Raw genomic sequence first — 11,094 nt, 5'->3', positions numbered from 1 at the left:
GGCCTGGATAGTAAAGTATTTTATTGGCGTTTGAATGAACCAAGAAAATGCATATAAATACACATGCGTAACTATAAGGGCAAAAGTAGTACTTTTGAAATCACAACATTAGATTAAACAATGTGAATTTTTTATTGTTTTTAAAAAATCAAGTCTTTCTCATCTTACTAGAAACTATTTACCAGAGTAAATAAGCTTCTTACTGAGGTCAAAAGACTTTCTGGAAAAACTTCTCCTTGATGAAATTGCACTTAAAACATCACTTCCATCGTGAAGTATTTAAGATGTTCTTTGTCCTTTCCCTGTTATGTGGAATCGTCAATTCAAATTTTAAAAGTGACTTTGAGATGTTTTTCATCTATTATTTTAAAAATGTTGAAGGCGTTTTTAATTCTACCTTCAACAGAGATCGACATACCTCTGATTATGATGTAAAACTGAACACGTTACTCTGACAGGCTTTCTTTTCTGCAGCGCAGCTACCATCATTATTAATAAGGATTGAATGCTTTTACTCCATGCACAATCTGTATTCCCTGCTTTATAAAGAATAGAAATCTAATTCTCACTATGAAGACAGATAAAAGTAATCCCTTCAACCTATAGACGAATCATTTACCAAAGCACTCAGACTTTAAATAGCATTTATCAAATATGTCTATATTTCTACGCAGATTCATAGAAAGAACATGTAGTTTAAATCATTGCACATTTTATGCTTTTAATGAGTTGTAATCATCATTAGTATTTTTGTCACATTTCCCCAAAGGTAGGCTAATTACTATTATTATTTTCATCTAGAAATATAAAATGAATTTTCTATTTTTGAAGACATTGCAACATAATCCTTGGAATATAATATCTGTGTATAATATCTGTGGAAAGCATGAAAGTAATATTCAAACAGTATGCATTTTTTTCCAGAATGAAAATTTCCTCTACAATAACATTCATCCTTTTTTCCTGATGGACACATAAAAGTCAACATTTCTAACATTGCTGGACATTATTTACATTAAGCTTGCCTCACCTTCAGGTGTTGCAGAAACTGGAAAAGAGGTCACAAGGTACACAATACACACACACACACACACACAAAACTTGTATTATTATACTTACCTAAGTGTCTAAAGAGGTGAATAAATATATTAGATTGCTCCAGAACAAGGATTTTTATGGGGCCTATTGGAAAGTATGGCTGCAGTTTGAGTGAGATGCCTGTAAGAGATTCAATGTGGCCACTAATAGAGTGTCCAATTTTAAAAATACTGACAGAAGGCTCATGAGATAGAAATTTTCACCTAGATCTATTGGGAAATATGCTACTAGATTCTGTAGTAAAAAGACTGGTGCGGTAATTGCAAAACACATCTGATATCTAAACCTTTGTTTGTTTTTTACCTGAAATCTTTATGGGGGTGATTGTGTATGTCAATTTGAATCTTCCCATCAAAAAGATAAATAAATACATAAATAAATAGCCAGCCTGCCTGGATAAATTAGTTCACCTTTTCTATATTTTGAGGGCAGTGCTTCTCCTTTGACAGCCACAAGATTCACCCGGAGATCCCTTAAAATGCAAAACCATAGACCACACATTGACTAGCTTGGATAAGGGGCCAGAGCATTGAAATGAGTGTGTAGGTGACTGTGCTAAGATTCTCCTGCTCATTTGGGCACTGGCTCACCATATAAACAAAGTTTAGGACCTCTAGTCCTTGCTGGAAAAGAAATACACATACACATACATAGGATGTGACTGTGCATATGGAATATCTGTTGTGTTCTGGACATTGTGCTAGACAACAGAGATAAGAAGTCAAATAATCCCTTGTCTCTATCTGAAAAGAGCTTCCTACACACTGGCTTCTGAGGTCTTTGAAACTAGATTCACTTTCAGATTTGATTATTATATTTATGATTTGATATTTTCATTGAACCCCATGATATGATAAAGTTTGCTAGAACCTGCTGGAATAATTGACTTTGCTCTCAGCATTATGAAGCCCCTGGGGCACATAAGTAGTTCATTTATGTTTCTATTTAACCACACAGGAACAACTTAAGCTACTTTTCTAGCCACTTTCGTTTAGAGCTGTTATTGTTTGTTTTTGAGACGGGTCTCACTCTGTCACCTAGGCTGGAATGCAGTGGCATGATCAGAACTCACTGTAGCCTCTACCTTCTGGGCTCAAGCCATCCTCTCACCTCAGCCTCCTGAAAAGCTGGGACCACAGGCTCATACCACCATACCCAGCTAATTAAAAATATATATATTTTTTGTAGAGACAGTTTTTCCATGTTTTCTAGACTTGTCTCCAACTCTTGAACTTAAGCAATCTGCCTGCCTCAGCCTCCTAAAGTGTAGAGCTGTGTTTTCAGTTTTTTTGAGCGGTTTTACAATCCAGTTTTGAATTGGTAAGTTTGGATTCATTCTGACATTTACAGATTTAACATCCTACTTCACAAGATGCTCATAGCCTTAATCCATTACAGCTGCTGCCTCATCCATCTCTGCTCATAGCCTTGATCCATTACAGTAGCCACCTCGTCCATCTCTACTCATAGCCTAAACTAATAGAAGCCAGAGGGAAGAAATGGAAGCCAATGTGAGTCCAGAACACACATTTTATAAGAGTATAGGAAATTTAAAAATAGCAAAGTATATCATGAAGTTTGTAATAGATGTGCATGGCTAAAATTTATTCTTAATCAATATATTCTATAAATTGGGAGAAAATATTAAACACATAAAAAGTAAGGAACTTGGGCTGGGTGCGGTGGCTCATGCCTGTAATCCCAGCACTTTGGGAGGCCGAGGCTTGTGGATCACAAGATCAGGAGATCAAGACCATCTGGCTAACATGGTGAAACCCCGTCTCTATTAAAAATACAAAAAAAAATTAGCCAGGTGTGGTGGTGGGTGCCTGTAGTCCCAGCTACTCGGAAGGCTGAGGCAGGAGAATGGCATGAACCCGGGAGGTGGAGCTTGCAGGGAACCGAGATCGCGCCACTGCACTCCAACCTGGGGACAGAGCGAGACTCCATCGCAAAAAGAAAAGGAAGAAAAGTAAGGAACTTTCATCATTAATATATAACTATTATGACAAGAATGTGGTTTATGTTTTTATCTTTGCAAGATTTAGGAACATTTAGTGGAAAGAGGAAGAATTTATAATCATGGGGAGCGTGTATGTATGATACTGGAGGGAGCCTTCTGACAAAGGGGAAATGGCATTACGAGATATGCTATGGTCATAGCTATGTGGGAGCGCAGCTAGCTATGGTCTCCCCCGTAAAACCCACTGGGCAGTGTTAAGTTACCAACATTGAGATAGAGCTCACCCACCCAGGGCAGAAGAGAAAATATACACTGCAGTCAGAAGCCACTGTGTAGGAAGCTCCTTTCAGAAAGAGGCAAGGGATATTTGACTTTTTATCTCTAGTGTCTAGTACAATGTCGAGAACACAACAGACATTCCATATGCACAGTCACATCCTATGTATCTGTATTTCTTTTCCAGCAGGGACTGGAGGTCCTAAGCTTTGTTAATATGGTGAGCCAGTGCCCACACGAACAGTAGGATCTTAACACTGTCACCTGGACATCCATTTAAATGCTCTTGTCTTAGCTAGTCAAAGTGTGGTCTACGAGTTTGCATTTTAATAAGATTCCAGGGTGAATCTTGTACATGTTACAGGGAAGCACTGTCCTACATCATATGTGACAGGCTCTCATAGTCACCATCATCACGGGAATCTTGTGCATGTTACAGGGAAGCACTGTCCTACATCGTATCAGACAGGCACTCATAGTCACAATCATCAGGGGAATGTTGCACATGTTACAGGGAAGCACTGTCTTACATCATATGTGACAGGGCTCTCATAATCACTATCATCACGGGAATCTTGTGCATGTTCGAGGAAAGAACTGTCCTGCATCGTATCTGACAGGGTCTCATAGTCACCATCATCACGGGAATCTTGCACACGTTACAGGGAAGCACTGTCCTACATCATGTGACAGGCTCTCATAGTCACGATCACTATGGGAAGATGCATTTAGAGCATTTAACTATATGGGCTCTGAAATCAGATGACTTAGGTTTAGACATACTTCTACTTCTTACTAAGCAGAGAACTCTGGGGTGAAAAGTTTACGAGACCCAGTTTTATCATGTCCAAATTGGAGGCATGGGGAAATTATAGCATTTTGCATAGAATATTGTTTTAAGTATAAAATGAAATAGTACATAGTAAGCTTCTGCCATACACTTGACTGCTCAATAAATATTAGTTAATAGTAACTCATTTAATCCTAAGGTCTATAAATTTGTACAAAATAATTTTGTATGACTACCCAAATTTTCATAATTAGTCTAGATTTAAAATCAAGGAATGTTCTTACGTGTAGTTGGCAATCAATATGACATGCCAAAATTATATGTAAGTATTTTATTGTTGGTGGGGATATAAGAAATTTACCATCAAAAGAGAGACGATAATCTATGTTTGCAGATTCCAGAAAGCTGTCTCTCACATAAGAATTTGCAATTTCTGGGGGAAAAGAAAAAGTTGATTGTGCAAATAAAGATTACCATGGAGTCTTCTCTATGGCAACATCAAAAATGAAAGCTGATTCTCATCTTCCTAACAATCTGCAAAGACGAGTGAAACACAACCTACTGAGCAACAAGTTAAAGAAGGAGAGAATTTGAGTGGCACAGAAGGAAATCATGTCACCGCTAGCGAAATCAATATGACCAGTGCTCCTCTGCCCTCCTCCGAGGCTAAGGATGGGTTAAATATCAGTGGCTGACCTCAGGTAATGGAATGAGAAAAAAGCTATAAAAATGCAAGCATTACATAATTAAGAGGGTGGGAAGGGATTTTTTTAAAAAGGCAATTCCTACATGGGTTCCTTCCTGTTCACCCCATTGGCGAAGAAGCTAGTCTTGCCCTAGAATTCTGGGAATGGCTGCAGACAAAACTAACACTGAGCAGACGAAATTCCCAGTAATTTACTCGTCACACATACTCAGCCCAGCGGGGGATGACACTGTATTTATGCAGGTCTACCCAGGGTAGCACTCTGGAACTGAGGGTGTGGGAGGCAGGCTTGGTAGAAATCAGAGGGTGGGGTAACCCCTGGTCCCTTCAGTGATGTGCTTGACTAATTCAGAGTTTTGCAGTCTGGTGGGGGCATGAAAGTCATTAGGCTGAGGACATGGTGGGGTGCTGCATGAAATTTTAGGTGTCACAATACAATTGACCCCTGATTCTTTAATATCAGACATTTATTTTCATGATGACTAATATTTTGAGAGGCTGAAAGCTGCTGAGACATTATAATAAGTGCTTAGGGACATGAGAGATTAGGAAGGCCACAGTTATGAGTAATGTAATGTGGAAGCCAATGCAAAGCTACGACCCCCATTTATTTAGCAGGAGGCAGGGAAAGTGATCTGGGGTCTCTGGCAGCACAAGCATGTTCGTAAATATTTGGGTGATGTCATGCATTCCCCATGCTTTGGTTTAGATATCTGGGGTCTCTGGCCACACAAGTGTTTTCATAAATATTTGGGTGATATCATGCAACCCCATGCATTGATTTTCATGTCTCCAGTGAGTTGTTGGGCAAGTCTGATATTACTGATCCACACGCAGCAGGCAGCTTCCTGTACGGAGCTACCTCCACCCCTTGGACAGTCCAGGACTGAATGGTTGTCAAAAATGTGAACTCCTTGATGTCCAGTAAAGGCAACTGAGGGAACTGTGTAGCGTTGGTGTAAAAAGTGCACTTTCCTAAGAAGCATGAACTTAGAGTAATCAAAGCCTGTGGCAACAGTGGAACCCAGCAGGGCATCCACTCGCTGCTTTGTAACTTAAATAGGAATTCTTTGAGGAGCTCAGTCTCTCTCTCAACTAAAGCAGCTGCCTGCAGCCTATAGGGGCAGTGGAAGCCCTACTGGACACTTTCACAAGCCTAGCACTGTGTTTTCCGATGAATGTTGCCTTGGTCACCATCAGTAGTGTCTGGAACTCTGCAGGAGATAAGGAGTGTCCCTGTGAGATCTGTACTGTGTCCTTGGTTAAAAAAAAAGGCATCTGTTACCTTGATTGTATTCTGAGTATCCATGAGGCAAGAAGTTTCTTTAATTCAATGGGGAGGGAAGGTGGACAATTCTTGACAATTGCCAAAAATTTGTAAAAATGTACAAATGGGGCTAATTGTTGGCCCAGCATCAGTGCTGAGATGACCACCTCAAGTTTGGCCAGTTGTGCTGAGGCTTGGGTGTCATCCTTTATCAGGGACATCCTAGCTAAGGGAGGGAAGGCAGCAGCATCCCACTGCGCTCCATCATGTCAGATGATGGCATCCATTCAGAAGGTGGATGAACTTCACTGCTGGTCACTCAGTCGATCCCAAGGGTCCTCGGAGACGGGTGACTTCCAGCAACACAGCCTGAGAATGAAGGAGGGCAGTGTTTCCTGCAGATGAGAATGGCAGGGGGTCCAGGTTTGACTCCATCCTGAGGCAAGGAGGTCTCTGCAGCTGTGCCAAGGCTGTGGGGTGCTGCTTCCCAAGGCCTGATGGCCAGATGGGCATGAAGGCTCATGGACATGGATGCAGAGCCCTCTGTTTCCAGAGGGTCCAGGATATGGTCAGCAATCACTGCCCTGATGCTGTACAGAGCAGGGTCAAAAGGGGCAGGTTTGTTTTTACATCAGAAGCCCATGGACTACTTATGGCCACCATATGCAACCCAGATAATTCAGGATGCATGGGAAGAGGTCTCTAAAGCATCCACAGTGTGTTCTCTGAGGGAATTCATAGAAGTACCTGTTAATTTAAATTTGGACAGATTCCAGACTTGTTGGAGGAGGCTTCATTCGAGGTGGGTCAGTTTGCCAATGACAGCATCAGTGAGATTAAGTAAGATTTGTAAACAAGAAATATGTTGTCACCTGAACCCCAAGTAAAGAATTAAAGGGCTGGGCACAGTGGCTCACAACTGTAACCCCAGAACTTTGGGAGGCTGAAGCAAGAGGATCCCTTCAGCCCAGGAGTTTGAGACCAGCCTGGGTAACATAGCGAGACCTTTTCTCTACAAAAAATTAAACAAAATTAGCTGAGTGTCGTGGCACACACTTGCAGTCCGAGCTACTTGGAAGGCCGAGATGGGAGAATTGCTTGAGCTCAGGAGGTCGAGGCTGCAGTGAGCTGAAATTGTGCCACTTCATACCAGCCTGGGTGACAGAGCAAGACTGTGCCTCCAAAAAACAAAACACAAATTGAAGAATGTTGGGTTTGTATTAACATTGTGGATGCTGAGAGGATGAATAACTGTTTTTTGAAAGTGTCAGGAATAGAGCAGCCCCAAGTTTACCAAGGAATTTTCAGGAATTGAAGCAAAGTGGCAGGGCCTTGCACTACTGTGTTGAGGAGAGGTCCACTCCCTTTGTGTAAGCCTCCTTGTATCTGTGTGTCCTTAGTATGTAAAATGAATTTTCTCTGAGAATGATGTCATCAGTATAATGTCACACCTGTGCTCCTGTAGAAACGTGGTTGCAGTGAGATCTTGTCTGTGAAGATTGCATGCAATGACGAGGCTGCCGAGGCACTCCATGGGTCGCCTGGTCCCTTCAGAGATGAAGGCAGGCTATGACTGAGACTCTGTTAAAATAGGCACAAAAAGAACATGGTAGCCAAATCTGTAACAACAAAATATTTATCAGTTGCATGAATATATATAGGTTTATTGTAAGGAATTGGCTCATGTGGTTATGGAGGCTAAGAAGTCCCAGGACCTGCAGTCAGCAAGCTGGAGAACCAGGACTGCCAATGGTGGAGTTCCAGTCCAAGCCTAAATTCCTGAGAACCAGGAAAGCTGATGGCATAAGTTACAGTCCACGTCTGACTTCAAAAGCGAGAGAAGATCTACGTCTCAGCTCTGAAATCATCAAAGAGGGTGAATTATCTCTTCCTCTACCCTTGTGTTTTATTTGGGTTTTAATGGATTGGATGAGGCCCACTCACACTGGAGAGGGCAACTACTTTACTAAGTCTACATATTCAAATGTTTGTCTCATCAAGGAACACCCTCACAGACACATACAGAGTGTTTAACCAAATATCTAGACAACCCAACTTGGCAAATAAAATTAACCATCATAAGGTGAAAGATGTATACGATCTGAAGAGAAACCAGGGATGCAGGATGGTTAAACATCTGTAAGTCAATAAATGTGATACACCACATAAACAGAATTAAAAACAAAAATCACATGATCATCTCAATACATGCAGAAAAAGGATTTGACAAAATCCAGCATCCCTTTTTGCCTAAAACCCTCAGCAAAATCGACATAGAAAAAGCATATGACAAAATCCAGAATCCCTTTATGATTAAAACCCTCAGCAAAATTAACATCGAAGGGACATACCTTAAGGTAATAAAAGCCATGTATGACAAACACACAGCCAACATTATATGGAATGGGGAAAAGTTGAAAGCATTCCCCCTGAGAACTGGAACAAGACAATGATGCCCACTTTCACCACTTCTATTCAACACAGTACTAGAAATCCTCACCAGAGCAATCAGATAAGAGAAATAAAGGGCATCCAAATAGGTAAAGAGGAAGTCGAACTGTCACTCTTTGCTGATGACATGATCGTATACCTAGAAAACCCTAAAGACTCATCCCAAAAGCTACTAGGACTGGTAAATGAATTCAGCAAAGTTTCAGGATACAAAATTAATGTACACAAGTCAGTGGCTGTGCTATACAGTAATAGTTAACAAGCTGAGAATTAAATAAAAAACTCACCCCCTTTTACAATAGCTGCAATAAAAATCTTAGGAATATTATAATTCCTATAGTTACAATAGTATATTCCCATAATTGTCAATTGCATGCAATCTTTGCAGACAAAATCTTAATTATATCCGGAATACTTAACCAAAGAGACAAAAGACCTCTACAAGGAAAACTACAAAACACTGCTGATAGAAATCATAGGTACAAACAAATGGAAACATATCCCATGCTCACGGATGGGTAAAATCAATATTGTGAAAATACCATACTGCCAAAAGCAATCTACAAACTCAATGCAATCCCCATTAAAGTGCTAACATCAGTCTTCACAGAACTACAAAAATTCACATGGAACTAAAAAAGACATAGAAGGGACATACCTTAAGGTAATAAAAGCCTAGAACCAAAAAAGAGTTTGTATAGCCAAAGCAAGACTAAGCAAAAAGAACAAATCTAGAAGCCGACTTCAAACTATACTAGAAGGCCATAGTCACCAAAACAGCATGGCACTGGTATAAAAATAGCCATATAGATCAATGGAACATAATAGAGAACACAGAAATAAAGCCAAATACTTACAGTCATCTAATCTTCAACAAAACAAACAAAAACATAAAGCAGAGAAAGAATACCCTATTCAACAAATGGTGCTGAGATAAATGGCAAGCCACACATAGAAGAATGAAAGTGGATGCTCATTTCTCACCCTATTCAAAAATCAACTCAAGATGGATCAAGGACTTAAATCTAATACCTGAAACCATAAAAATTCTAGAAGACGACATTGGAAAAACCCTTCTAGACATTGGCTTAGGCAAAGACTTCATGACCAATAACCCAAAAAGCAAATGCAACTAAAACAAAGATAAATAGATGAGACTTAATTAAACTAAAAGGCTCCTGAGCAGTAAGAGAAATAATCAGCAGAGTAAACAGATAACCTACAGAGTGGGAGAAAATCTTCGCAATCTGTACTTCTGATTAAAGGACTAATACCCAGAATCTGCAAGGAACTCAAACAAACCAGCAAGAAAAACATCCCATCAAAAAGTGGGCTAAGGACATGAACAGACAATTCTCAAAAGAAGATAAGCAACTGGCCAACAAACACATGAAAAAATGTTCAACATAACTAATTATCTGGGAAATGCAAATCAAAACCACAATACAATATGATACCCCTTCACTCCTGCAAGAATGGTCATAATCAAAAAATCAAAAATTAATAGATGTTGGCATGGATGTGGTAAAAAGGGAACACTTTTACACTTTTTGGAGGGAATGTAAGCTAGTACAACAGCTATGGAAAACAGTGAGGAAATTTCCAAAGAACTAAAAGCAGATCTATCATTTGATCCAGTAATTCCACTCCTGGGTATCTACTCAGAGGAAAATGTCATTATATGAAAAAGATACTTGCACACGCATGTTTATAGCAGCACAATATGCAATTGGAAGAATTTGAAACCAGCCTAAATGCACATCAATCAGTAAGTGGATAAAGAAAATGTGGTATAAATATTTACCACATGGAATACTACTCATTCTTAAGATGGAATGAAATAATGCATTCACAGCAACCCAGATGAAACTGGACACCATTATTCCAAGTGAAGCAACTTAGGAATGGAAAACCAAACATTGTATGTTCTCATTCATAAGTGAGAGCTAAGCTGTGAGGATGCACAGGTGTAAGAATGATACAATGGTCTTCGGGGACTCGGGGAAAGGCTGGGAGTGGTGGGGTGGGTGCAGTGAGGGATAAAACAGTACATATTGGGTACAATGTACAGTGCTTGGGTGATGGGTGCACCACAAATCTCAGAAATCGCCACTAAAGAACTTATTCCTGTAAGCAAACACCACCTGTTTCCCAAAAACCTATTGAAATTAAAAAAAAAAAAATCATATTCCCCAAAAACCTATTGAAATAAAAAAAATTAACCAAAATATTAGGTATTGGGTACAAGGGCCTTAATGAATGGGAGCACTGCAGTCACATTACAGCAATCCACTGTGAAACACCATTTATTCTTTGCAGGTTTAAGAACAGGCCAAATTCTACTGCTAAACGTTGAAGCAATGAAGATTATCACCCCTTCCCTAATTCATTTGGTTTTATATAATAAGTTTTATTTATTTGAAGTCGTGTTGTAATTTATGTTGAACCATATTTGCTAATTTATCAAGATGGGGAGGCTAGGCACGGTGACTCACACCTGTAATCCCAGCACTTTGGGAGGCCGAGGCAGGAGGATTGCTTGA

At 39.9% G+C, this 11,094-nt stretch overlaps 1 pseudogene across 1 annotated transcript in view; it reads right to left on the bottom strand.

Annotated features, from left to right (window-relative positions):
- Window positions 1-5,285: 5,285 nt before the first annotated feature.
- FRG1BP (FSHD region gene 1 family member B, pseudogene) overlaps window positions 5,286-11,094 on the bottom strand; it is a 42,680-nt pseudogene continuing 36,871 nt past the window's right edge. Inside the window, exon 8 of the transcript NR_145491.1 lies at window positions 5,286-7,681. The product of NR_145491.1 is annotated as an FSHD region gene 1 family member B, pseudogene, transcript variant 1 (transcript). The remainder of the gene's footprint in view (window positions 7,682-11,094) is intronic.

The sequence above is a fragment of the Homo sapiens genome, chromosome 20, assembly GCF_000001405.40.
Source record: "Homo sapiens chromosome 20, GRCh38.p14 Primary Assembly".
Taxonomy (NCBI): domain Eukaryota; kingdom Metazoa; phylum Chordata; class Mammalia; order Primates; family Hominidae; genus Homo; species Homo sapiens.
This window is presented reverse-complemented; position numbering and strand designations above follow the sequence as displayed.